General features: G+C 53.3%; 1 protein-coding gene across 9 annotated transcripts, besides 4 other annotated features; it reads left to right on the forward strand.

Moving 5' to 3' along the window:
* Positions 8,356-8,665: a silencer, noted in NCBI's record as "silent region_9819". NCBI's record gives its function as "represses an Ori minimal core promoter by ATAC-STARR-seq in GM12878 lymphoblastoid cells {active_cell/tissue: GM12878}" and the evidence as "EXISTENCE:reporter gene assay evidence [ECO:0000049][PMID:35858748]".
* TLE6 (TLE family member 6, subcortical maternal complex member) lies at positions 8,471-26,249 on the forward strand. Of its 9 annotated transcripts, none has more exons than XM_011528300.3 (17): positions 8,471-8,537; positions 9,268-9,354; positions 11,170-11,252; positions 12,608-12,653; positions 13,218-13,259; positions 17,899-17,961; positions 18,053-18,308; positions 18,426-18,442; positions 18,794-18,860; positions 18,968-19,044; positions 19,161-19,198; positions 20,131-20,383; positions 20,605-20,855; positions 22,913-23,054; positions 24,502-24,652; positions 25,089-25,165; positions 25,970-26,249. In XM_011528300.3, the coding sequence occupies exons 2-17, from the start codon at positions 9,304-9,306 to the stop codon at positions 26,072-26,074; spliced, it is 1,719 nt and encodes a 572-aa protein (XP_011526602.1). In that variant the 5' UTR covers positions 8,471-8,537; positions 9,268-9,303; the 3' UTR covers positions 26,075-26,249. The 9 variants fall into 9 exon arrangements, 8 of the variants coding, with proteins under 8 accessions (XP_011526602.1, XP_005259702.1, NP_001137458.1 ...); XM_005259645.3 differs by lacking the exon at positions 8,471-8,537 and adding an exon at positions 8,634-8,689; NM_001143986.2 differs by lacking the exon at positions 8,471-8,537 and adding an exon at positions 8,634-8,680.
* Positions 13,528-14,046: an enhancer, noted in NCBI's record as "H3K4me1 hESC enhancer chr19:2982456-2982974 (GRCh37/hg19 assembly coordinates)". NCBI's record gives its function as "activates a minimal SCP1, AML or CMV promoter by ChIP-STARR-seq in naive H9 embryonic stem cells {active_cell/tissue: H9 hESC(naive)}" and the evidence as "EXISTENCE:reporter gene assay evidence [ECO:0000049][PMID:30033119]".
* Positions 14,047-14,563: an enhancer, noted in NCBI's record as "H3K4me1 hESC enhancer chr19:2982975-2983491 (GRCh37/hg19 assembly coordinates)". NCBI's record gives its function as "activates a minimal SCP1, AML or CMV promoter by ChIP-STARR-seq in naive H9 embryonic stem cells {active_cell/tissue: H9 hESC(naive)}" and the evidence as "EXISTENCE:reporter gene assay evidence [ECO:0000049][PMID:30033119]".
* Positions 15,082-15,598: an enhancer, noted in NCBI's record as "OCT4-NANOG-H3K4me1 hESC enhancer chr19:2984010-2984526 (GRCh37/hg19 assembly coordinates)". NCBI's record gives its function as "activates a minimal SCP1, AML or CMV promoter by ChIP-STARR-seq in naive H9 embryonic stem cells {active_cell/tissue: H9 hESC(naive)}" and the evidence as "EXISTENCE:reporter gene assay evidence [ECO:0000049][PMID:30033119]".

Genomic DNA, 26,630 nt, shown 5'->3' on the forward strand with positions numbered 1-26,630 from the left:
CATTGGATTAAGACAGCTTCTAAATCTGTTGTTTTTTTGTTGTTGTTGTTGTTGTTTTTTGTTTTTTTTGAGACAGGGTCTCACTCCCTCACCCAGGCTGGAGTGCAGTGGCGCCACCTCGGCTCACTGCAACCTCCGCCTCCCGGGTTCAAGCGATTCTCAAGGCAGCTCCTAAATCTAATAATTGGCGTTCTTATCAGGAGAGGGAAATTTGGACACAGACACAGAGACAAACAGGGAAGAAAGCCAAGCAGTGATGGAAGCAGAAATTGGAGTGAAGCCAAGTCACACCAAAGCCTGCTGGCCGCCACCAGAAACTGGAAGAGGCAGGGAGGACCCTCCCCTGGAGCCTTCAGAGGGAGCACAGTGGCCCTCCCCACACCTCGATTCTGGCCTCCGTCACTGTGCGAAAATACATTTCTGTTGTCTGAAGCCACCTGGTTTGCAGTCATCTGTTACAGCAGCTACAGAAAACAAATATCAGCTTCTTTCTACCAGGTGGCAGGAGGCAAACCTCATCAATCCTAGCCACTTCCACAAACTCACTCTTCCTGTGACAGGGGGTTGGTGTGGAGCCTGAGGGTGGGGGTGAAGCTGTCCTCACAGGGTTAACAAGAATTCTGTACAGATTGGCCGGGAGCGGTGGCTCACGCCTGTAATCCCAGCACTTTGGGAGGCCGAGGCGGGTGGATCACAAGGTCAGGAGTTCGAGACCAGCCTGGCCAAGATGGTGAAACCCCGTTTCTACTAAAAATAAAAAAAAATTAGCCAGGCGTGGTGGCAGGCGCCTGTAGTCCCAGCTACTTAGGAGGCTGAGGCAGGAGAATTCCTTGAACCTGGGAGGTGGAGGTTGCAGTGAGCCGAGATTGTGCCAATGCACTCTAGCCTGGGTGACAGAGCGAGACTCCATCTCAAAAAAAAAAAAAAAAAAAGAATTATGTACAGACATATAGTTATAATTAAGCATTAGGCTGGGCCTGGTGGCTCACGCCTGTAATCTTAGCACTTTGGGAGGCCGAGGCAGGTGGATCACCTGAGGTCAGGAGTTCGAGACCACCCTGACCAACATGGTGAAACCCTGTCTTTACTAAAAGGACAAAAAATTAGCCGGGCGTGGTGGCGGGCGCCTGTAATCCCAGCTACTAGGGAGGCTGATGCAGGAGAATTGCTTGAACCCGGGAGGTGGAGGTTGCAGTGAGTCGAGACTGCACCACTGCACTCCAGCCTGGGCAAAAAGAGCGAAACTCCATCTCAAAAAATAAAAAATTAAAATTAAAATGAAGCATTAATCTGGCTGCACTCTGACCTGCTTCCTTGTAACAGAAAAGCACATTGCACTAGACACTGACCATTTGCACCACATAGATACCATCTCTGACGTTAGAAGCAAAATACTTCTGTTTAAGAATTGCTTAAGCAGGCCAGGCTCATTCCTGTAATGCCAACAATTTGGGAGGCCCTGGCAGGAGGATTGCTTGAGCCCAGCTGTATAAGACTGGCTTGGGCAACATAGCCAGACCTCATCTCTACAGAAAATTTAAAAATTAGCCAGGCATGGTGGTGTACGCCTGTAGTCCCAGCTACTCAAAAGGCTGAGGTGGGAGGATCGCTTGAACCCAGGAGGTCACAGCTGAGTGAGCTATGATTGCACCACTGCACTCCAACCAGAGCAATAGAGCAAGACTCCATCTCTAAAAAAACAAGAACAGGGCCAGGCATGGTGGCCTGCGGCTGTAATCCTAGCATTCTGGGAGGCCGAGGTGGGTGGATCGGATCACCTGAGGTCAGGAGCTGGAGACCAGCCTGCCCAACATGGGAAAACCCCGTCCCTACTTAAAATACAAAAATTAGCTGGGCGTGGTGGCGGGCACCTGCAATCCCAGCTACTTGAGAGGCTGAAACAGGAGAGTCGCTTGAAACCGGGAGACAAAAGGTTGCAGTAAGCCGAGATGGCGCCACTGCACTCCAGCCTGGGTGACAGAGCGAGACTCCGTCTCAAAAAAAAAAAAAAAAAAAAAAAGCCAGGGATGGTGGCTCACGCCTGTAATCCCAGCACTTTGGGAAGCTGAGGCAGACAGATCACCTGAGGTCAGGAGTTCGAGACCAGCCTGGCCAACATGGTGAGACTCCCCCCCACCAACTAAAAATACAAAAATTAGCCGGGCATGGTGGCAAGTGCCTATAATCCCAGCTACTCGGGAGGCTGAGGCAGGAGAATTGCTTGAACCTGGGAGGCAGAGGTTGCAGTGAGATGAGATCATGCCGCTACACTCCAGCCTGGGGGACAGAATGAAACTCTGTCTGAAACATACAAACGAACAAAAAAAGTTTTGGAGTGTGGCGCCTGTTGACTGGTTGAAGAGTGCAGGGTGAAGTTCTGGGACGGGGGAGGGAGAAGCTATGTTCTCATGCTCATCCTGCTCCTCTCTGGGGGCCTTCACACTAGCTGGTGTCAGCTGTTCTGCTGGAATTCAGGATCTACTCAAGCAATTCTCTTTTTTCTTTCTTTCTTTCCCAGGCTGGAGTGCAGTGGCACAATCTTGGCTCACTGCAACCCCTGCCTCCCGGGTTCAAGAGATTCTCCTGCCTCAGGCTCCTGAGTAGCTGGGATTACAGGCATTTGCCACCGTGCCCCGCTAATTTTTGAGTTTTTAGTAGAGGTGGGGTTTCATCATATTGGCCAGACTGGTCTCAAACTCCTGACCTCAGGTGATCCACCCGCCTCAGCCTCCCGAAGTGCTGGGATTATAGGCATGGGTCACTGCGCCTGGCCGCAATTCTTTTTTCGACACAGGGTCTTGCTCTGTTGCCCAGGCTGGAGTGCAGTGGTACAGTCTCGGTTCAGAGCAGGCTCAACTTCCCAGGCTCAAGTGATCCTCCCACCTCAGCCTCCCGAGCAACTGGGACGACAGGTGTGTGCCACCGTGCCTGGCTAATTTTTTATTTTTTATAGAAATGGGGTCTCACTTTGTTGCCCAGGCTGGTCTTGAAGTCCTAGGCTCAAGCGATCGTCCTGCCTTGGCCTTCCAAAGTGCTGGCATTGCAGACATGAACCACGGCACCCAGCAAGGTAGTTTGCTTGTGTAAAACAAAAACTCCAAAGTATTTGGAATGCAAATGCCTTTTGTCTCAAACCTTCTAGACTTTGAGTTTCCAAGTCAACCAAACAACTCAAAAGCCAAGAACAAGGAGGAAATATTGGCTTCCTTCCTTCCTGTCTGCTGTGTCATCTGTCTCCTCCCTGAGGGGTCAAGGGAAATTGCTCCCTGCTGGCTGGGCTGGAGTGGCCAGGGCACAGCCAAAGGGAAGGACCCAGGGTGACCACACTCCAGGGAATTCCCTCCAACCCCACTCACGGGGGTTTTAAATCAGGGAGAAATGGGCCACGCTGGTGGCTCACGCCTGTAATCCCAGCACTTTGGGAGGCCAAGGTGGGCAGATCACAAGGTCAGGAGTTCGAGACCAGCCTGACCAACATGGTGAAACCCTGTCTCTACTAAAAATACAAAACCCTGTCTCTACTAAAAATACAAAAATTAGCTGGGCATGGTGGCGCACACCTGTAATCCCAGCTACTCAGGAGGCTGAGGCAGAAGGATTGCTTGAACCTGGGAGGCAGAGGGTGCAGTGAGCCAAGATCACACCACTGCACCCCAGCCTGGGTGATAGAGCGAGACTCCATCTCGGAAAAAAAAAAAAAAAAAAGGCAGGGGGAAACAGAATGGACCAGTCTCTGTGGCTCACCCCTGTAATCCCAGCACTTTAGGAGACTGAGGCAGGAGAATCGCTTGAGCCCAGGAGTTCAAAACCAGCCTGGGCAACACAGGAAGACCTTGTCCCTACAAAATACAAAAATGAGCTGGGTGTGCTGGGTGGCAAGCACCTGTGGTCCCACCTATTTGGGAGGCTGAGACGGGAGGACTGCTTGAGCCCAGGAGGTTGGGACTGCAGGGAGCCAAGATTGTGCCACCGCACTCCAGCCTGAGCAAGAGTGAGATCCTGTCTCAAAAAAAAAAAAAAAAAAAAAGGCTCAGGCCTGTAATCTCAACACTTTGGGAGAACGAGGTGGGGGTGGATCCCCTGAAGTCAGGAGTTCGAGACCAGCCTGGCCAACATGATGAAACCCTGTCTCTACTAAAAATACAAAAATTAGCCGAGTGTGGTGGCACGTGCCTGTAATACCAGCCACTCAGGAGGCTGAGGCAGAAGAATCGCTTGAACCCGGGAGGTGGAGGTTGCAGTGAGCTGAGGTTGCACCATTGCACTCCTGCCTGAGCAACAGAGTGAGACCCCTTCTCAAAAAAAAAAAAGAGTAGAAATGGAATGACTACTGAAAATGTGCTTCCGATTTCTACATGGACCCTGGAGGAATTTCTCTTTCCTAGGAGCCTCCAATCAGTGCTGTCCACTGGGACTTTCTGTGATGACAGAATGTTCTAGATCTTCGCTGTCCAGTACGGTGACCCCCAGACGCCAGTGACGACTGAGCGCCTGACATGCGGGCAGGGTGCCTGAGGAATGGAATTTTAAATTGTATTTCATTTTAATTAATTTTAACTTAAATAGCCACATGTGCTTACTGGATACCCTGTGAGACAACCCTGTGAGTCTTGGATAAAGCAACGTGCCCAGCTGAAAGTCTACAATCAGAGGGAGGGGAAAAAGCAAAGCCCATATTAGGAGGCTGGACCATAAATAAAACACACTTTAATTATGCAGCTGGGTGCAGTGGCTCACGCCTGTAATCCCAGCACTTTAGGAGGCCGAGATGAGTGGATCACTTGAGGTCAGGAGTTTGAGACCATCCTGGCCAACATGGTGAAACTCCATCTCTACTAAAAATACAACATTAGCTGGAGGTGGTGTGGTGGCGGGCGCCTGTCATCCAAGCTACTCAGGAGGCTGAGGTAGAAGAATCGCTTGAACCCAGGAGGCAAAGGTTGCAGTGAGCCAAGATCGTGCCACTGCACTCCAGCCTGGGCGACAGAGCAAGACTCTGTCACAAAAAAATAATAATAATAGCCAGGCGTGGTGGCTCACACCTGTAATCCCAGCACTTTGGGAGACCAAGGCAGGTGGATCACAAGATCAGGAGTTTGAGACCGATCCGGCCAATATGGTGAAACTCCATCTCTATTAAAAATACAAAAATTAGGCGGGTGTGGTGGCGGGCGCCTGTAGTCCCAGCTACTTGGGAGGCTGAGGCAGGAGAATCGCTTGAACCTGGGAGGTGGAGGATGCAGTGAGACAAGATCGCGCCACTGCACTCCAGCCTGAGGGACAGAGAGAGACTCTGTCTCAAAAAAATAAGTAATAAAAATTAAAAAATAATAATTATGGGACAGTGGAGGGTTCGTGGGTGGGAAGCTTTTCTGCAGGTCTTTCATGACGGCCCCTCCCTTTGTTCTCCATGGACCAGCTGCAAAACCCAAGTCACGTGTGCACATCACCACCTCTGGGGGCTACTTGTCCCAGCATTGAAACCCTCAGTTCCCCGCAGCGAGAGAGCACAGAACAGAAAACAGGGAAGAGTTTCTCTGGCTGGGTTTGGATCTGAAGTCAGCAGACCTATCGGGCATTTGTGTCACATGGGGAGGTCAGAGGATGGGAGGCGTCTCTGTAGGAGAATCCTGACAGCATTCTCTGCATTTAGAACATGCAGGGCTTAGAGCTATCGTGGGAGGCTCCCGCCACAGGAGCCACTGAGATTACAAGATTAGCTGCAATCCAAACCACATTCGGAAAAAAATAAAATAAGAAAGGGAGATACAGGCCCGGTGGCGGCACAGTGGCTCATGCCTGTAATCCATAGTACTTTGGGAGGTGGAGGTGGGAGGATCACTTGGGGTCAGGAGTTCAAGACCAGCCGGGGCAATGTACTGAGACTCCCCTCCCCCTCGCCCTGTGTTTAAAAAAAAAAAGAGGAAATAAAGGGAAATATAGGGAAGGGAAGGGAGGGTTGGGAGGTCTCTTCAATGAGATCCTTCCTTCCTTCCTTCCTTCCCTCCCTCCCTCCCTTCTTTTTTTTTTTTTGAGATGGAGTTTCACTCTTGTTGCCCAGGCTAGAGTGCAATGGCACGATCCTGGCTGACTGCAACCTCCACCTCCCGGGTTCAAGCGATTCTCCTGCATCAGCCTCCCAAGTAGCTGGGATTACAGGCGTCTGCCACCACACTCAGCTGACCTTTGTATTTTTAGTAGAGATGGGGTTTTGCCATGTTGGCCAGGCTGGTCATGAACTCTTTTCTTCTTTTGAGGCAGAGTACTCTGTCGCCCAGGGTGGAGTGCAATGGCGACATCTTGGCTCATTGCAACCTCTGCCTCCCAGGTTCAAGTAGCTGGGATTACAGATGTGCATCACCGTGCCCGGCTGATTTTTGTATTTTTAGTAGAGGTAGGGTTTCAGCATGTTGGCCAGGCTGGTCTGGAACTCCTGACCTCAAGTGATCTCCTGCTTCGGCCTCTCAAAGTGCTGGAATTACAGGCGTGAGCCACCACGCCTGGCCTGATGTGGTGATTTTTTTTTTTTTTTTCTGAGACAGAGTCTTGCTGTGTCACCCTGGCTGAAGTGCAGTGGCACAATCTCGACTCACTGCAACCTCCGCCTCCCAGGTTCAAGTGATTCTTCTGCCTAAGCCTCCAGAGTAGCTGGGACTACAGGTGCCTATCACCATGCCTGGCTAATTTTTGTATTTTAGTAGAGCTGGGGTTTTCTTTTTTTTTTTTTTTTTTTGAGACAGAGTCTTGTTCTGTCGCCCAGTCTGGAGTGCAGTGGCGCAATCTTGGCTCACTGCAAGCTCCGCCTCCCGGGTTCACGCCATTCTCCCGCCTCAGCCTCCTCAGTAGCTGGGATTACAGGCACCCACCGCCACGCCCGGCTAATTTTTTTGTATTTTTTATTAGAGATGGGGTTTCACCGTGTTAGCCAGGATGGTCTCGATCTCCTGACCTCGTGATCCACCCGCCTCGGCCTCCCAAAGTTCTGGGATTACAGGTGTGACCCGGCCAAGCTGGGGTTTCACCATGTTGGCCAGGCTGGTCTCGAACCCCTGACCTCAGATGATCCACCCACCTCTGCCTCCCAAAGTGCTGGGATTACAGGCGTGCACCACAGCACCTGGCCCAACGTGGTGATTTCTAAGTAGGGAGCTGAGGGAGTAAGGAGCCAGCCGGTGGCTGTCTGAGAGAGACTGTCCCTGGCAGAGTGAACTGCTAATGCCAGTACCAGGTCCTGGGCCAAACAGAAAGAAACGGGCTCTCACTCCAGAACTGCAGCTTGACCACTATATATATAATATATATACTTTATATATATTATAGCTATATATTTTTTTGAGATGGAGTCTTGCTCTGTTGCTCAGACTGGAGTGCAGTGGCACGATCATAGCTCACTCCAGACTCAACCTCCTGGGCTTACGCCATCCTCCTGCCTCAGCCTCCCCAGTAGCTGAGACTACAGGTGCATGACCACCACACTTGGCTAATTTTTAAATTTTTTGTAGAGACGCGGTGTCACTGTGTTGCCCAGGCTGGTCTCCAACTCCTGGCCTCAAGCAATCCTCCCACCTCAGCCTTCCAAAATGCTGGGATCACAGGTGTGAGCCATGGTGACTTGGCTTCATATTTTGAATAGGCCAAAACAAAACTCCGAAATCCCCTTACTCCTATCCCCACGACCCCACACAGCAGGTTTCTCTCGCTCTGCAGCAACCCACTTACCTCTCGGAAATCATCCCAGGCCTGTTCGGAGTGCACGCAGCCCCGTTAGCCTCCCTGGCTGCTCCTGTAACCAGCCCAGCTCTGCCTGAGAGGTTCCGCTATTCCCTCCGTCTGGAATACCCACCACTCTCTCCCACCCCGCGCTTGCATCCGGCAATACTGTATCAGCCTCAGGGCCTCTGCTGTCCCGCTTTCTGCTCTCAGAGCCTTTGTCACTGGGCTGGAAGAGCAGTTGGGAAAATTCGGTGATAAATGCATAGCCCGGGGCTGGGACCATCAAGGGGACCCAGTAAGTTGGCTCCAGAAAGAGGACTTGAAGCTTCGTTTGCATTGCACGTTATTTAATATTGAGGAAAATGTAATTAGCCCGTATCTAAGAATTGGGGTGACAGCGCTAAAGATTGAACCCACCCACCTCCCACTCCTCACCTCCAGCCATAAGCCACTTCCGGACAAGGCTAAAAATGCGTAAAACAATGCAACTACTCGCCACCTATCCCTGCCCAAGTTCCAGCCTCTGAGCCTCAAGCCCCACGCCCTCCTAAATATCCCCGCCCCCGCTGGGACCCCAAATTGCCTATAGCTCTGCAAGTCCGCCCTTCCCGGCAGCGGGACCGAAAGGGTAAAGCAGAGGCTCCCGGCTCGCTGAGTGACAGCATGGCCGGCGGCCGGGGAGAGCCGACCAATCAGGGAGGGCGTACGCGACCCACGTGCGTAAACGGCCTCGCTATTGGCCGGCGCCGCCAGAGGCCTGCCCCCCCCGGAGCCCGAACCCACGTGCAGCTACTGCGCCTTCATTGATCTGCTTCGCGGTCCAGGTGGCGGCTGGGTGGGGCCTGGGCGGGACGGGGCGGGGACAAGGCGGGACGAGGCGGGGCCCGATGGGTCAAATGGCCCCCGGTGGGGGAAGGAGGAGTTTCCTCTTGGCCTGAACTTGGCTGACCTCCGCAGCTTCCGCCCGGTGAGGGACGTGAGTTGCCAGGCGTGTTCTAGGGGGCTGGGGGGACTCCAGGATTCCCGGCCGGGGAAGGGGCTGCAGGGGCGTGGAGGGGCAGGACTGAGGCAAGGAAGAAGCTGGGTGCTGCAGCAGGGATGGAGGTGGAGAGAGGTCGTTTCTTCTGTCTGATGAATTCCGCCTAATGCACCTGGCTAACTCCTAGTCATCCTTCAAAACCCCTTTCTAGTGATCTCCCTGCGCTTTAGGAAATTGTCTCAAAACTAAGGTTGAGCTTTGGCGACCTTCCCTGGGCTCCCCCGTCCCTGACTGCCCCCAGCAGGGAGTGTATGTGCACTATCCACCCCAGCCTCCTAGGGTGAGGCCTGGGAGGCAAGGCTCAGTTCTTTCTGGGTCCCCGCCCCCATGAATCTGGGCAGCTGGAGGCATTGATAAGTGAGGACAGGACCTAGGGAACGCATGGGAGAACCGCAGGATTGGGTCCCTGGAGACTTACCAAACTGGGAGGTGCGGGTGGGGTAACGGGTGCCTTGCTTCCCTGGCACTGCCTTATTTTCTGTCCCTCAAGACCTGCCGTCTCCTTGTTGTTTTAGACTCTGGCTAAAGTCTTGGAGGCTACTGCCTTGAAGATGACCTCTAGGGACCAGCCCAGACCCAAGGGCCCCCCGAAAAGCACTTCGGTGAGGAGGGCATGTGGTGGGATCAGCCCTCAAGGGAAACCCGGGCCCAATGTGGTTCTGCCCCTTTTCCACCTGTGACCTGGGCTGGCCCCGCCCAGGCCTCGCAGCTGAAGACAATACTGGTCGCTGCTACACTCAAGACAGGTGCCAAGGAGCCGTGTTTTTTAAAAAAAATTAAGTGTAGGCTGGACACTGTGGCTCACAACTGTAATCTCAACATTTTTGGAGGCCGAGGCAGGAGGACCACTTGAGCCCAGGAGTTTGAAACCAGCCTGGACAACGTAGTGAGACCCTGTCTCTGTAAAAAATAAAACTAGAAGAATCAGCTGGGCCTAGTGACGTGGGCCTGTAGTTGCAGCTACTTGGGAGGCTGAGGCAGAGGGTTGGCTTGAGCCCAAGGAGTTTGAGGCTGCAGTGAACTATGATGGTGCCACTGCACTCCATCCTTGGTGACAGTGAGATCCCATCTAAAAAAAAATGTAGCATCTAATCACATATGTGATAAAAACACAGGAACACATCATGTATTTGGTTGATGTTTTACAAGCAATCCCCGCTCCCTGCACTTTGCGTCCCAGAGATGACCATTTGTAAATTTAGGCTCTCAGGGCTGAGCAGACGTTTTTTTTTGTAAAGGAGTCAGATGAGGGATATTTTGTTTTGAGACTTTATGATTTTATTATGTTTGAGACGGAGTCTCACACTCACCTCGGCTGGAATGCAATGGCGCAATCTCAGCTCACTGCAACCTCTGCCTCCCGGGTTCAAGTGATTCTCCTGCCTCGCCTCCCGAGTAGCTGGGACTACAAGCACCTGCCACCATGACCACCAAATTTTTCTTGTATTTTTAGTAGAGACTGGGTTTCACCATGTTGGCCAGGCTGGTCTCGAGCTCCTGACCTCGTGATCTGCCTGCCTCAGCCTCCCAAAGTGCTGGGGTTATAGGTGTGAGCCACCACACTTGGCCAAGAGACTTTATTTTATTGAGTCTTGCTCTTGTTGCCCAGGCTGGAGTGCAGTGGCGCGATCTCGGCTCACTGCAACCTCCACCTCCCAGGTTCAAGTGATTCTCCTGCCTCAGCCTCCCGAGTAGCTGGGATTACAGGTGCGCGCCACCACGCCCGGCTAATTTTTGTATTTTCAGTAGAGACGGGGTTTTGCTGAGTTGCCCAGGGTTGTCTCAAACTCCTGACCTCAGGTGTTCTGCTCACCTCGGCCTCCCAAAGTGCTGGGATTACAGGCATGAGCCACCTTGCCCGGACTTTTATTTTTAAAAATATTTTGTGCTTCTATTTTCATCACAAGAATGTGGTGAACATTTTAGACTTTAGGCCAAAGTGCAAAATGGAAGATGCTCTTTACTGAAATAAGAGAGGCCGGGCGCGGTGGTTCATGCCTGTCATTCCAGCACTTTAGGAGGCCGAGGCGGGTAGATCATGAGGTCAGGAGGTTGAGACCAGCCTGGCCAAGATGGTGAAACCCCATCTCTACTAAAAATACAAAAATAAGCCAGGTGTGTTGCCGGGGGCGGGCGGGGGAGGGGGGCGCGGGCGCATGTAATCCCAGCTACTCGGGAGGCTGAGGCAGGAGAATCGCTTGAACCCGGGAGGCAGAGTTTGCAGTGAGCTGAGATTGTGCCACTGCACTCCAGCCTGGGCGACAGAGCAAGACTCGGTTTCCAAAAAAAAAAAAAAAAGCAAAAACCACAATTACTTTTGCACCAACCTAATGCCTATGCCATGTTGAGGTGGAGACCGGGGGTCTTGGGTGTTGGAGCATTGTAAGTTTTATGTAACCTTGCTTTGACCTTTCCAGCCTTGTCCTGGGATCTCGAACTCTGAGAGCTCTCCGACGCTGAATTATCAGGGCATTCTAAATCGGCTCAAGCAGTTCCCCAGGTGAGAGCAATTCCAGGGGCCGGAGGTCTCACGCTGGGAAGGAGCCCCACCTGGCCTCTCTCCCGGGGGTCCTAGTGAGTGGTCTAGAGGCTGCTGGCCCAAGAGCCAGGCTCAGGAACAGGAAGCCATGCAGATACCCAGCATGGAGAACCCGGCAATACCCATCCCAGCTTTTGATTAAACAAAATTACCAACAAATATTAAAATTTTGATTTTCCTGTTCGACATGGATTTGTTGGCATTCAATTTTATTGTTGAAAAATACTGCAACGGCTGGGTATGGTGGCTCGCACCTGTAATCCCAGCACTTTGGGAGGCGGAGGCGGGCGGATTGCTTGAGGTCAGGAGATCAAGATCAGCCTGGCCAACATGGTGAAACCGCGTCTCTACAAAAAATACAAAAATCAGCCAGGCTTGGTGGTGGGTGCCTGTAATCCCAACTACTTGGGAAACTGAGGCAGGAGAATCTCTTGAACCCAGGAGGCGGAGGGTTGCAGTGAGCCAGGATCACACCATTACACTCAAGCCTAAGGCTACAGAGTGAGACTCGGTCTTTAAAAAAAAAAAAAAAAAAAAGTACTGCATGGGCTGGGTGCAGTGGCTTGCACTTGTAATCCCAGCACTTTGGGAGGCAGAGGCAGGAAGATCGCTTGAGCCCGGAGTTCAATACCAGCCTTGGCAACATAGCGAGATGCCATCTCTTAAAAAATAAAAAAAATCTAGCTGAGTGTGGTGGTGCACACCTGTAGTCCCAGCTACTCAGGAGACTGAGGCAGGAGGATCATCTGAGCCCAGGAATTGGAGGCTGCAGTGAGCCATGATTGTACCACTGCACCCTAGCCCGGGCAACAGGGTGAGATTCTGTTTAAAAAAAAAAAAATTGAAGAAAGTGGCGGGGCGCGGTGGCTCAAGCCTGTTGTAATCCCAGCACTTTGGGAGGCCGAGGTGGGCGGATCACCTGGAGTCAGGGGTTTGACACCAGCCTGGCCACCATGGTGAAACACTGTTTCTATTAAAAATACAAAAAAATAGCTGGGTGTGGTGGCAGGTGTCTGTAATCCCAGCTACTCGGGAGGTCGAGGCAGGAGGATCTCTTGAACCCAGGAGGCGGAGGTTGCAGTGACACTGCACTCCAGCCTGGGTGACAAGAGTGAGACTCTGTCTCAAAAAAAAAAAAAAAAGAATATACTGCATTAAAATCTTACTGAACTTCTTGACACTGCCTTAAATTTGGCTTCTGGAGCCAGTGCCTTCCAGCTTCATTGAGACCCTCCCTAGGGGTTGAGGGTGGGGCTCACTCTGGGGAGGGAGTCCTGAAGCCACAGGTCTTCCAGCCTGTCCTCCTTCCCCCTCAGGTTTTCTCCTCATTTTGCTGCGGAGTTGGAGAGCATTTACTACTCGGTGAGCCAGACCCAGGCAGCCCCAACCAAGGAGGGCCCCACTGGGACAAGCTGAGGCCCTGGTTTCCCGGCCCTGCCTCCTGAGTGCCCTAGAGAGGTTCTTTTCCGCCAAGCACTGTGCCTCACGCCTGTAATCCCAGCACTATGGGAGGGCGAGGCAGGTGGATCACCTGAGGTCAGGAGTTGGAGACCAGCCTGGCCAACATAGTAGAGACCCTGTCTCTACTAAAAATACAAAAATTAGCCGGGCATGGTGGCAGGTGCCTGTACTCCCAGCTACTCGGGAGGCTGAGGCAGGAGAATCGCTTGAGCCCAGGAGGCAGAGGTTGCGGTGAACTGAGATCACACTGTACTGCAGCCCAGGTAACAGAGCAAGACTCTCTCTGAGGAAAAAAAAGGTAGGGACCATACATCAGTGTAGTAAGAAAGTAAAAGAGAAAACAAGGTGAAAACAAAAATTTAAGGTGGGGGAGTAGGGGCCAGAGAGGTAGAGCAGCTTGCCCAGGGTCACACAGCATTCACACCCGGACCACCTCCCGATGGGATCTCTGTTTTCCCTTTGCAGCTGCACAAGATCCAGCAGGATGTGGCAGAACATCACAAGCAGGTGGGTGACCAGGAGCTCAGGGGTGCGGCTGTCCCTCCATGAAAGGCATGAGAAAGCACAGAGGGGGGCCGGGCACAGTGGCTCAAACCTGTAATCCCAGCACTTTGGGAGGCCGAGGAGGGTGGATCACTTGAGGTCAGGAGTTCGAGACCAGCCTGATCAACATGGTGAAACCCCGTCTCTACTAAAAATAAAAAAATTAGCCAGGCGTGGTGGCGGGCGCCTGTAGTCCCAGCTACTTGGGAGGCTGAGGCAGGAGAATTGCTTGAACCCGGGAGGTGGAGATTGCAGTGAGGCAAGATCGTGGAACTGCACTCCAGCCTGGGCGACAGCGAGACTCTGTCTCAAAAAAAAAAAAAAAAAAAAAAGGAGGTGGGGGATGGTGAAGACAGAGGACGAGGGGTAGGTCATGCTGAGCCTTGTGGGCCGTGGGAAGGACTTGGGCTTTGACCCCAAGGGAGGTGGGAGCCATGGAGGACTGCTGGCAGAGGAGGGACATGCCCTGACTTGGAAGCCCCCGTGATATTAGTGGAGGCCCCATATCTTGGGGAGCATCTCCTGTCCTGTCTCTGAGCTGCTTCCAAGAGAGGGTCAGTCCTGCTCCTTCCGCTCCCTGGGCCCCTGCGCAACCTAGATGACCCTTTGCCGGTCAGTTGCTTTGGACAGAGAGAGCCTGTGATGGGGCAGGCACCCGGCTGTGTTCCCCTGCGTGTCTGAGTGTTCAATGAGGGGCCATATGACATGGGAGTGAGGGGAGCTCTGCATGGGAGGGGGCGCCCGGGCTCCCATCTCCCAGCCCAGGGCGCCTGGCCCAAGCAGAAGTACGCCTTCCAGCCCTGCCTGTCCTCCCGCCACCTGGCCTTTTCTCCCAGGCGCTGGCAGGATTTTCCGCCTGTGCCAGATGTAACTGGCAGGGGCCCAGGGCCGTGTCTGCAACTTAGCAGGGCCTGGGAGGAGGGGGGCAGCGAAGGGAACAGGGTGAGGGGGGGCCAGGAAGCAACCAAAACATGGTTATTCATTCAGCAGATATTTATCCATCACCTCCTTGCCAAATACTGTTGTAGAAGCCAGGAAAATAGCAAAGAACGACGCAGAGCTTCCCACCCTTGGGGCGAGTGGAGCCTGGTAGATGGAGTGTTAGGGGATGAGGGCTGGGCAAGGCGGGGGATGGAAGAGAGCAGCCCCAAGGGGATTGGGGAGGCCAGGGTGGGCGAGGGTTGCAATTCAGGGTGGTCAGGGAAGGCATGCGAGAAGGTGACATCTGAGCGGAGGCTTAAAGGACATCAAAGAGGAAGTGTGGCTGTCTGGGATGGGAGGGATATTTCAGGCAGAGGGCACAGCCTGTGTGAAGGCCCTGAGGCAGGACGGTGCCTGTTGTGTTGGTCCTGAAGGCACTACGAGGAAGCCCGCATGGCTGGAGCAGAGTGAGAGGAGGAGGGGGGGAGGGCAGGCCACGCATGGCCCTGTGAGCTTCAGGGAGGACTTGGGCTTTGAACCCTGAGGGAGGGAGGTGGGAGCCATGGAGGGCTTCAGACAGAGGGCAGGCCCTGGCTACTGCGGAGAGGACAGAGAAGAAGGAGGAGGGATGAGGGCAGAAGCCCGGGAACCAGTTAGGACAGTCCAGGTGTGGAATGCTGGTTGCTTAGTGATGAGAAGTAATTGAATAATTGTGGACGTGTTTTGGGAGGAACTTGACCGCAGCTGCTGAGCATCAGGATACGCAGGGGGTGAGGGCTCCAGAGCAAAGGAGCCACTTCGGTTGCAGCCAGACCCAGGAGGGTCCCTGCCCAGCCCCCACTGCAGGGGGCCCCAGGATCCCTGGCAGCCCAGCCTGGCCTGTGGTCCTGGGCAGTCCGCTTCCCCCACCCGCTGCTTCCAGTTCCGGGCTTTCCCAGCCGCCTCGCTGTGCTTTCAAAATCGCCATCAGCACAGCCCCCTCCTCCGACAGCCCGCCTGCCACTCTCCCCCGGGAGGGCTGCTAGCAGGCACAAGGGAGCCACACTTTTCATGCTGAGCGCATTAAAGTGCCGGTAAATTGCGCATTAACGAGGCGGGGTGAATTGGAGAGGGCTCCCCTGGGATTTGCTGCTGCTGGGCGGGCTCAGCTGGGAAATCCATCACTGGCTGCCCCAGGAGGCATCAGCCTGGAGTCCCCCCCCCCCCGCGGGGCTCCGATGGAGGGTCTCCCCTCCCGGCCCCTCCCTCCGCCGTCCTGCTAAGGAAACAGACAGGTAGCCTTTTTGTAGAAAAAAACTTAAGAGATAGGATCACTCGCCTTGCTTTCTTTTTTTGTTGTTTTGACGGATCATGCTCCGTCTCCCAGGCTGGAGTGCAGTGGGAGGATCTCAGCTCACTGCAACCTCCACCTCCTGGGTTCAAGTGATTCTCCTGCCTCAGCCTCCCAAGTAGCTGGGATTACAGGTGTGTGTCACCATGCCTGGCTAACTTTTATGTTTTTAGTAGAGACAGGGTTTTGCCATGTTGGCCAGGCTGGTCTCGAACTTCTGACCTCAGGTGATCCGCCCGCCTCAGCCTCTCAAAGTGCTGGGATTACCGGTGTGAGCCATCGCACCTGGCCAATTTCTTTATACTTTGAACATGGCTACTAGACATTCCATATGCATGACTATATTTATGTATTATTCCAATTCTACTTGTACTGGATGGTATTGATCTCGATTTTATTCTGTTTACTGAGAAACTACATTTAACTTCGGGATTGACAGTGGTCAGATGGCTTGATTTTTGTTGTTGTTTGTTCGTTTTAAATAAAACACCAGACTGGGTGAGGTGGCTCACGCCTGTAATCCCAGCACTTTGGGAGGCTGAGGTGGGCAGATCACCTGACGTCAGGAGTTCGAGACCAGCCTGGCCAACATGGAGAAACCCCATTTCTACTAAAAATACAAAATTAGCTGGGCATGGTGGCGGGTGCCTGTAATCCCAGCTACTTGGGAGCCTGAGGCAGGAGAATTGCTTTAACCCAGGAGGCAGAGGTTACAGTGAGCAGAGGTGGTGCCATTGCACTCCAGCCTGGGCGACAGAGCAAGACTGTCTCAAAAGAGAAAAAAAAATTACCACTGACTTGTTTCTATCAATTCTCCCCAGCAGGTAACCCTCAGTTTCTTAGTATCTTTCCAAAGTTTAAGCAAATTAAAACGTCTTCCTCACCTAGGGAGACCTAGGTATGCTGTTTTGCTGCTTGAAGCCTTTTTTTTTTTTTTTTTTTTTGAGACAAGTCTCGCTCTGTCACCCAGGCTGGAGTGCGGTGGCATCATCTCGCATCTGGGCTCACTGCAAGCTCCGCCTCCTGGGTTCAAGCCATTCTCCTGCCTCAGCCTCCCGAGTAGCTGGGACTACAGGCACCTGCCACCATGCCTGGCTAATTTTTTTTTTTTTTTTTGTATTTTTAGTAGAGATGGAGTTTCACCATGTTAGCCAGGATGGTCTCAATCTCCTGACCTCATGATCCGCCCGCCTCGGCCTCCCAGAGTGCTGGGATTACAGGCGTGAGCCACCGCACCCGGCCTGCTTGAAGTCATTTGAAGCAAAGTGTGGTGGTGGTCAGGTTTTCTTTTTAAAACATCCCAAAAAGAGTAGCTGGGGCCAGGTGTGGTGGCTCACACCTGTAATCCCAGCACTTTGGGAGGCCAAGGCAGGAGAATCATCTTAGGTCAAGAGTTCAAGACCAGCCCGGCCAACATGGTGAAACCCTGTCTCCACCAAAAATACAAAAATCAGTCTGTGTAGTGGCACACGCCTGTAATCCAGCTACTTGGGAGGCTGAGGCAGGAGAATTGCTTGAACCCAGGAGGCGGAGGTTGCAGTGAGCCGAGATCACATCACTGCACTCCTGCCTGGGCCACAGCGTGAGACTGTCTCAAAAAAAAAAAAAAAAAAAAAAAAAAAAAAAAAAAAAAAGATATATGCCAGGTGCGATAGGCCGGATGCGGTGGCTTAAACCTGTTATCCCAGCACTTTGGGAGGCACACGTGGGAGGATAGTTTGAGGCCAGGAATTCAAGACCAGCCTGGCCAACATAATGAGACTCCCATTTCTACAAAAAGTGTATTTAAATTAGCTGAGCGTGGTGGTGCATACCTGTAACCCCAGCTACTCAGGAGGCTGAGATGGGAGGATCACTTGAGCCTGGGAGGTTGAGGGTGCAGTGAGCTGTAATCGCACCACTGCACTCCAGCCTGGGTGTCAGAGTGAGATCTTATCTGCAAAAAAGTAGATGAAGGCTGGGGGTGGTGGCTTATGCCTATAATCCCAGCACTTTGGGAGGCTGAGGTGGGCAGATCACCTGAGGTCAGGAGTTGGAGACCAGCCTGGCCAACATGGTGAAACCCCATCTTTACTAAAAATACAAAAATTAGCTGGGTGTGGTGGTGTGCACCTGTAATCCCAGCTACTCAGGAGGCTGAGGCAGGAGAACCACTTGAACCTGGGAGGCGGAGGTTGCAGTGAGCCGAGATTGCACCACTGCACTCCAGCTTGGGTGACAGAGTGAGACTCTGTCTCAAAAAAACAAGTAGATTGATATACCTTCTTCTACAGGTGGGGATAATCATGCTGTAGGATTGCAAACCCTTAACTGCAACAACATTTAACTGTTTTGCTGCCAACCTCCTTCTAGATAGGAAACGTCTTACAGATTGTGGAGAGCTGCAGCCAACTCCAGGGTTTCCAGTCTGAGGAGGTGAGTTTCTGGGTCTTCAAGGAGGGGAGGGGACAGGCTTGGGTGAAGGCTCATCCTCAAAGCTCTCACTGCCTTGTTCCTGCCGGGCCAGGTCTCACCTGCTGAACCAGCCAGCCCTGGGACGCCCCAGCAGGTGAAGGACAAGACCCTGCAGGAGTCGAGCTTTGAGGACATCATGGCCACCAGGTCCTCCGACTGGCTCCGGCGGCCTTTGGGGGAGGACAATCAGCCGGAGACCCAGCTGTTCTGGGACAAGGAGCCTTGGTTTTGGCACGACACTCTGACCGAGCAACTCTGGCGGATTTTTGCCGGCGTCCACGATGAGAAGGCAAAGCCCAGAGACAGACGTGAGTGTCCCTGAGGGTGAGGGGGAAGGGGCAGCCACAGGCTGCGTCTCAGGGGCTGTGCAGTGAACCCTGCTGTTCTCTCTGTCCCCCTCCTCCTCTCCGTTGTCATGGTGACAGAGCAGGCACCAGGCCTGGTGAGTAAACAACCTCAGCTCTATCCAGAGGGGTGGGCTTCCGGGCAGGCGGTTGGGCTCCCCCAGGTCAGGGCACTGGGGTTCCTGTGGGATTTGTCTTCCTTCCATCCTGCCCCTCGGGTCCCCCGGGGGGGACTTGGGTGATCCAGGAGGCTATACTGGAGTAGCCCAGGACCCACAGCCCAGGGCTTCCAGGACCCTATACCCTGACTCTCTCTCTGCAACTCTGCCTGGACCCGCAGACAGGACCCCAGGCAGCTGACAAGCCCTGTGCAAGCTGCCCAGGAATCCGAGGTCTTCTGGTCCTAACAGGCAGGTCAGCAGGCCTGATGAGACTTTTCCATTTTCCAGGGGCAGGAAAGCAAGGCACCAGGATCCTGTGACCCAGGAACAGACCCATGTCCTGAAGATGCCTCCAGTAATCCCAGCGGGCAGGGGCCGACCGACTCCAGGCGGGATGGGGTGGGGGCATCCTGTGCTGAGGAGCCAATGCAAGCCGCTTAGCCCCTCTTGTCTCCCCACTAGCCCCCAGGCCACCTGAGGCCTCCTCCAGTCCCCCTGAGGGTTCCCAAGACAGGAACACAAGTTGGGGTGTGGTCCAGGTGAGACCCAGGCCCGAGCTGGTAGCCCAGCGTGAAGGCTGCCCAGGGTGGGGTAGAGGAGGTGGGCACAGATGTGCGGGGAGGCTGGGGGCAGCTGTGATCTCCCCCGCCTGCAGGAGCCTCCTGGAAGAGCCTCTCGGTTTCTACAGTCCATGTAAGTGTCTGCACTGTTTGCTTTTGGGCGGGGTGAGGGGCAGCGGGAATTCCTTCCTGTCTATACCTCTGTTCCCGACACATAGAGGGGAACAGAGGTGTAAGACTTTCTTCCCCTTTTCCCATCACTACTCTGCCATCCTCTCCAACAGCCGCTGCAGAGGCTGGGTAGAAAAGTGCAGTGTTAGGCCGGGCGCGGTGGCTCACGCCTGTAATCCCAGCACTTTGGGAGGCCGAGGCGGGCAGATCACGAGGTCAGGAGATTGAGAACATCCTGGGTAACACGGTGAAACCCCGTCTCTACTAAAAATACAAAAAAAATTAGCCAGGCGTGGTGGTGGGTGCCTTTAGTCCCAGCTACTCGGGAGGCTGAGGCAGGAGAATGGCGTGAACCCGGGAGGTGGAGGTTGCAGTGAGTTGAGATCGCGCCACTGCACTCCAGCCTGAGTGACAGCAAGACTCCGTCTCAAAAAAAAAGTGCAGTGTTAGGCTCACAGGATCGCCGCCCCAACACTGGGCTCAAGGCATTTGGGGAAGACTTTTTCATGGAAGGGGATGGGGTGTAGCTGTGTTAGAACTGGATGCAGATTGTCCCAACCTTGTGGAGTGATGCTGGGAGAACCCAGGTGGGGCAAAGAAGGCTTTTCTGGGGAAGGAGCATAATAGCTAGGACCATAAAGGATGAATAGGAGTTCTTCCTCCTGGGGCAAAGCAGTCTAGGAAGAAGGCAGAAGTATGTGGAGGGCTGTGGCAAAGGGACAATACTTGAAGGAATATGAGCAGGACATTGAGGGGAGTCTAGAGGGTAAAACAAGGCCTGAGAGAGGGACCCCAAAATCTGAAAAAGAAGCCCCTCTAGGCCTTGATGTGTGGCTCCCACTGGGCAAAGGGGCTCACAAGCAGGTCAGTTACCCCAAGGCCTCCCCTCCCAAGATCCTGGGACCCTGAGGACTTTGAAGATGCATGGAAGAGGCCAGATGCCTTGCCCGGGCAGTCAAAGAGACTCGCCGTCCCGTGCAAACTGGAAAAGATGCGGATCTTGGCACACGGGGAGCTCGTGCTCGCCACGGCCATCAGCAGCTTCACGCGGCACGTGTTCACCTGTGGCAGAAGAGGCATCAAGGTGTGGAGCCTGACTGGACAGGTGGCTGAGGACAGGTTCCCTGAGAGCCACCTGCCTATACAGGTGAGGACGGCCTTGGTTTCCAGGGATGCAGGGCTTCTGGGAACAGGGGGTTTGAGGTTTGAGTCTGGCAGAGCCCAGATCGTGGAGAGAGGGCTTCCAGGGAAAAGGGGCATAATAGCTAGGAACCTAAAGGATGAATAGGAGTTCGCTCTCATGAGGCAAAGCAGTCCAGGCAGAATGCCACGGGGGGCGACAGCTCACAGTGACTCTGCCCATCCCAGACCCCTGGGGCCTTCCTGCGCACCTGCCTGCTGTCCTCAAACAGCAGGAGCCTGCTCACCGGTGGCTACAACCTGGCCAGCGTGAGCGTGTGGGACCTGGCGGCGCCCTCCCTGCATGTGAAGGAGCAGTTGCCCTGTGCAGGTCTCAACTGCCAGGCCCTGGATGCCAACCTGGATGCCAACCTGGCCTTCGCCAGCTTCACCAGTGGTGTGGTCAGGATCTGGGACCTGCGGGATCAGAGTGTGGTCAGGTGCGTTTGGGGGGTGGGAAGGGGAAGCATCCTGTGCCAGCCTCCTGTGGCCACCTCTGCCCACCTTACTGCTACCACCTCTGCCCGCCTTCCTGCCACCTCCTGAACCTGGGATATAGCACTCTCCCAGCCAAAACCCCTTGCCCCCTTGAACTTGGATTTGAGAAAGTTTAGAGGTGCGGACTTGAATCTTGGCTGGACTGCGTTCCTTGCAGCCCAGGGCATTTTACTTTTTGTCTGCCTCAGTTTCCCCACCTGGACACAGGATGTGACAGCCCCAAACTCAAAGGCTTGTTAGAGGGCAAATTTGTTGTAAAAATATAAAACAGCAGGCCAGGCCTGGTGCCTCAAACATGTAAACCCAGCACTTTGGGAGGTCAAGACGGGACAAATGCTTAAGCCCAGGAATTCGAGATTAACCTGGGTAATGAATAAAACGAATTTATTCTATTTTTATTAAATAGAATAAATTTTATTTAATAAAAATTAAATAGAATTTTTATATAGTCTATTTAAAAATATGTATATATAAATTGGCCGGGCGCAGTGGCTCACGCCTGTACTCCCAGCAGTTAGGGAGGCCGAGGCAGGCAGATCCACGAGGTCAGGAGATCAAGACCATTCTAGCTGACACGGTGAAACCCTGTCTCTACTAAAACTACAAAAAAATTAGCCAGGCGCGGTGGTGGGTACCTGTAGTCCCAGCTACTCGGGAGGCTGAGGCAGGAGAATCCCTTGAACCCGGGAGGCGGAGCTTGCGGTGAGCCGAGATCTGTGCCACTGCGTTCCCAGCCTGGGCGACAGAGCAAGACTCTGTCTCAAAAAAGAAAAAAAAATACACACATATATAAATAAATATATATATAAATACATAAATATATACATAAATATATACATAAATATATACATAAATATATACATATATAAAAAACAGTCTGGGTGCGGTGTCTCACACCTGTAATCCCAGCACTTTGGGAGGCCGAGGTGGGTGGATCACTTGAGGCCAGGAGCTCAAGACCAGCCTGGCCAACATGGCGAAACCCCCTCTCTACTAAAAAATATGAAAATTAGCCGGCGTGGTGGCACATGCCTGTAATCCCAGCTACCCCGGAGGCTGAGGCAGGAGAATCGCTTGAGAAGCGGAGTTTGTGGTGAGCCAAGATGGTGCCACTGCACTCCAGCCTGGGTCACAGAGTGAGACTCTGACTCAAAAAAAAATTTTACATACATACATACATACATACATACATACATACATATATGTATACACACACACATATTAAATATATGTAAATAGGCTGGGCATGGTGGCTCATGCCTGTAATCCCAGCACTTTGGGAAGCCGAGGCGGGCAGATCACCTGAGGTCGGGAGTTTGAGACCAGGCTAACATGGAGATACCCCATCTCTACTAAAAATACAAAATTAGTCAGGCGTGGTGGCCCATGCCTGTAATGCCAGCTACTCGGGAGGCTGAGGCAGGAGAATCGCTTGAACCCAGGAGGCAGAGGTTGCAGTGAGCTGAGATCGTGCTGCTGCACTCCAGCCTGGGCAACAAAACGAGACTCCATTTCAAAAAAAAAAAAAATACGTATATATATATATATATATACACACACACACACACACACACACACACACATATATATAATATATGTATTTATAACATATAAGATATCTATCAGCATATGTTTGCAGGAAGCAATGGCTGACGTAAAATACAGCACACCACCCGCCCGGCACTATTCCCCTTCCCTGCTTGAAGGGATTCCTGTAGACCTGCCTCAGAGCTCGGGTGGACTCAGGGTGGAAGAGGCAAGGGGAGGCCTAGGTGAGGCCAAGGGGAGGCCCAGGCGGACGGAGAAGGGAGGCTGAGGGCTGGGAGGGGCCGGCACTAGATCCTGTGTCTGTTTTCTGCCAACTTTGACACTCTGTGCAGGCAGAGATTTTTGGGTGGTGGCACTGTCCCTTTCATGCCCAAATGTAGTGACTGGTGTTTCCGGGGGCCCAAACCTCAGAGTCTTGACCTGATTGCCTCCCGATGTCCCTTCTGGCCAGGGACCTCAAGGGTTATCCTGATGGAGTCAAGAGTATCGTGGTCAAGGGCTACAACATCTGGACTGGGGGTCCGGATGCCTGTCTGCGGTGCTGGGACCAGAGGACCATCATGAAACCTCTGGAGTACCAATTCAAGTCTCAGGTGCGGAGGCCGGGATGGGGTCTGCTTGGCCAGGCATCCTCTGGTCCTCAGATTAAAAAATGAGGTTGAGGCCGGGCTCCGTGGCTCACGCCTATAATCCTAGCACTTTGGGAGGCCAAGGTGGGTGGATCACCTGAGGTCAGGAGTTTGAGACCAGCGTGGCCAACATAGTGAAACCCCATCTCCACTAAAAATACAAAAATCAGAGCTGGGCGCAGAGGCTCACACCTGTAATCCCAGCACTTTTGGAGGCCGAGGAGGGCAAATCACCTGAGGTCGGGAGTTCAAGACGAGCCTGACCAACATGGTGAAACCCCGTCTCTACTAAAAATACAAAATTGGCCAGGCATGGTGGCACATGCCTATAATCCCAGCTAGTCGGGAGGCTGAGGCAGGAGAATCGCTTAAACCCGGGAGGTGGAGGTTGTGGTGAGCCGAGATCGTGCCATTGCACTCCAGGCTGCGCAATAAGAGCGAAACTCTGTCTCAAAAACAAATGAGGTTGGCCAGGCACAGTGGCGTATGCCTGCAATCCCACCACTTTGGGAGGCAGAAGTGGGAGGAAGACTTGAGCCCAGGAGTTTGAGACCAGCCTGGGCAACATAGTGAGACCCTGTTTCTACAAAAAATAAAAATAAAAATTAGCTGAGCATGGTGGCACGTACCTGGGGTCGCAGCTAGTTGGGAGGCTGAGGTGAGAGAATGGCTTGAGCCCGGGGAGGCTGAGGCCACAGTGAACTGTGATCATACCAGTGACTGTAGTCCAGCCTGGGTGACAGAGTGAGACCCTGTCTCAAAAAAAAAAAAAAGGGGGGGAGGCGGGTGGGGGGGGGGGAGGATGAACTCTGGGAAGGAAAAAAGGTAGTGGTTCTAAGTCTCACTGATGCTCCAAACACAGAGATCATTAGAAATATTCTTTGCAGGCCGGGCGCAGTGTCTCACGCCTGTAATCCCAGCCCTTTGGGAGGCCAAGGCGGGTGGATCATTTGAGGTCAGAAGTTCAAGAACAGCCTGACCAACATGGTGAAACCCCGTCTCTACTAAAAAAAAAAAAAAAAAAAAAAAAAAACAGAATAATTAGCCAGGCATGGTGGCGCATGCCTGTAGTCCCAGCTACTCAAGAGGCTGAGGCGGGAGAATCGCTTAAACCCCAGGAGGCAGACGTTGTCGTAAGCCGAGATCGTACCATTGTACTCCAGCCCGGCAACAGAGCGAGACTCCGTCTCAAAATAAACACTCATGCTGTATCAGGTGCAAAGTAGGGAAGACTCTCCATTTTACACACCAACAAACTGAGGCACAGATACGAAGTTGCTTGTCCCAGGGCTGCACAGCTAGGAAGGGGTCAGTCACCCGGCCTCCAGGATAGGTCCCCAGGCTCCTGCCTGCTTCCTGGGCCAGGCTGGGACCTAACCAGGTTCCTCCCTCCCCACTGCCCATTACCTAGATAATGAGCCTGTCCCACAGCCCCCAGGAGGACTGGGTGCTGCTGGGCATGGCCAATGGCCAGCAGTGGCTGCAAAGCACCAGCGGGAGCCAGCGGCACATGGTGGGGCAAAAAGACAGCGTCATCCTGAGCGTCAAGTTCTCCCCCTTTGGTAAGCGGCTGGCGGAAGATGAGGGGACTCCCCTGCAGCCCCCAGCCTCCCACAAGACCCCACCTAATGCCAGCTCCCCACCCAACCCTCTAGGACACCTCAGAACCCTTCTGTAGCAGAAACCAATTTTGGGGATGCTCTTATAGTGGAATGAGGGAGGGAAGGGGGTGGGTGCCTGGGCCCTTCCTCCCCACCCGCCCCACCGGCGCGGTCCGCCTCCGCCCTTCCCCCTTCAGCCACTGGTGTCCCCATGAGCCCGGGGAGGCTGAGGCCACAGTGAACTGTGATCATACCACTGACTGTAGTCCAGCCTGGGTGACAGAGTGAGACCCTGTCTCAAAAAAAAAAAAAAAAAAAAAAGGTGGGTGGGGAGGATGAACTCTGGGAAGGAAAAAGGTAGTGGTTCTAAGTCTCGCTGATGCTCCATTTCTCCCAGGCCAGTGGTGGGCAAGCGTTGGAATGGACGACTTCCTTGGCGTCTACAGCATGCCGGCGGGGACAAAAGTGTTCGAGGTACTGCGGTGGGCTGGGGGCAGGACCCGGGGGTGGCCCCAAAGGGACCAGCCTGGGCAACACAGCAAGACCCTGTCTCCACAAAAAACTTAAAAAGTAGCCAGGTGTGGTGGCTCACGGCTTTAATCCCAGCATTTTGGGAGGCTGAGGCAGGAAGATCTCTTAAGTGTAGGAGTTCGAGACCAGCCTGGCCAACATAGTGAGACCCCATCTCTACAAAAAATAATTAGCTGAGCCGGGTGCGGTGGCTCACGCCTGTAATCCCAGCACTTTGGGAGGCCGAGACGGGCAGATCATGAGGTCAGGAGATCAAGACCATCCTGGCTAACACGGTGAATCCCTGTCTCTACTAAAAATACAAAAAATTAGTTGGGCGTGGTGGTGGGCGCCTGTAGTCCCAGCTACTTGGGAGGCTGAGGCAGGAGAATGGCGTGAGCCAGGGAGGCGGAGCTTGCAGTGAGCCAAGATTGTGCCACTGCACTCCAGCCTGGGTGACAGAGACTCCATCTAAAAAAATAATAATAATAATTAAAAACACTTTTAAAATTAAAAATAATAATTAGCTGAGTGTGGTGGTGCACACCTGCGGTCCCAGCTACTTGGGAGGCTGAGGCAGGAAGATTGTGTGAGTCCAGGAGGTCGAGGCTGCAGCAAGCTGAGATTGCACCACTGCACTCCAGCCTGGGCAACAGAGCAAGACCCTGTCTTTCTTTGAAGAGACGATGCTTCATGCTTGAGCTGACAGGTGGAGACCAGGGGTGTGTGAGCCCTACCCCAGCTCACTGCCCACTGCCCCCCCTCCAGGTGCCTGAGATGTCTCCAGTCACGTGCTGTGACGTCTCTTCCAACAACCGCCTCGTTGTCACAGGCTCCGGGGAGCACGCCTCCGTGTACCAGATCACCTACTGAGGGGCCTCGCTGCTGTCATCCCACTCCGGCTCCTCTTTTCATCCCCCCCCTTCCCCCCCCCCAACAAGGGGGACATGGTGGAGGGAAGCGGGAAGGCTCTTCTGTGGCATCGCACGATCTAGTCTGTGGTGTAGACTGGTCGCCATCACGTGTAATAAAGCACCCGGGAAAGGCAGAGTGTGGACGCGTCCTGTCCTCTGAAGGGAAAGGGGCCTTCCCATCCCGTCCCTGCTCAACTTGTGGAAATCTGGAAGGACTTCGTCCAGCCTGGTGGCTCTAAGCCTTTTTTTTTTTTTTTTTTTTTTTTTCTGAGGCAGGGTCTCACTTTGTTATGCAGGCTGGAGTGCAGTGGTGCCATCACGACTCCCTGCAGCCTCTCCAACTCCTGGGCTCAAGCCATCCTCCTGCCTCAGCCTCTTGAGTAGTTGAGACTACATATATGTACCACCGTGCTCGGCTAGTTTAATTTTTTTGTAGATGCTGGGTGTGGTGGCTCACACCTGTAATTCCAGCACTTTGAGGTCGGGGGTTTGAGACTAACACAGTGAAACCCCAT

The sequence above is a fragment of the Homo sapiens genome, chromosome 19, assembly GCF_000001405.40.
Source record: "Homo sapiens chromosome 19, GRCh38.p14 Primary Assembly".
NCBI classification, from domain to species: domain Eukaryota; kingdom Metazoa; phylum Chordata; class Mammalia; order Primates; family Hominidae; genus Homo; species Homo sapiens.

Excerpts from the sequence above, each read along its gene's own strand:
- TLE6 (XM_011528300.3), top strand. The coding sequence starts at position 9,304 with ATGACCTCTAGGGACCAGCCCAGACCCAAGGGCCCCCCGAAAAGCACT. Across the intron at positions 19,199-20,130 it reads TCTCGGTTTCTACAGTCCAT|ATCCTGGGACCCTGAGGACT; the intron begins GTAAGTGTCTGC and ends TCCCCTCCCAAG. Across the intron at positions 24,653-25,088 it reads CGTCAAGTTCTCCCCCTTTG|GCCAGTGGTGGGCAAGCGTT; the intron begins GTAAGCGGCTGG and ends CATTTCTCCCAG.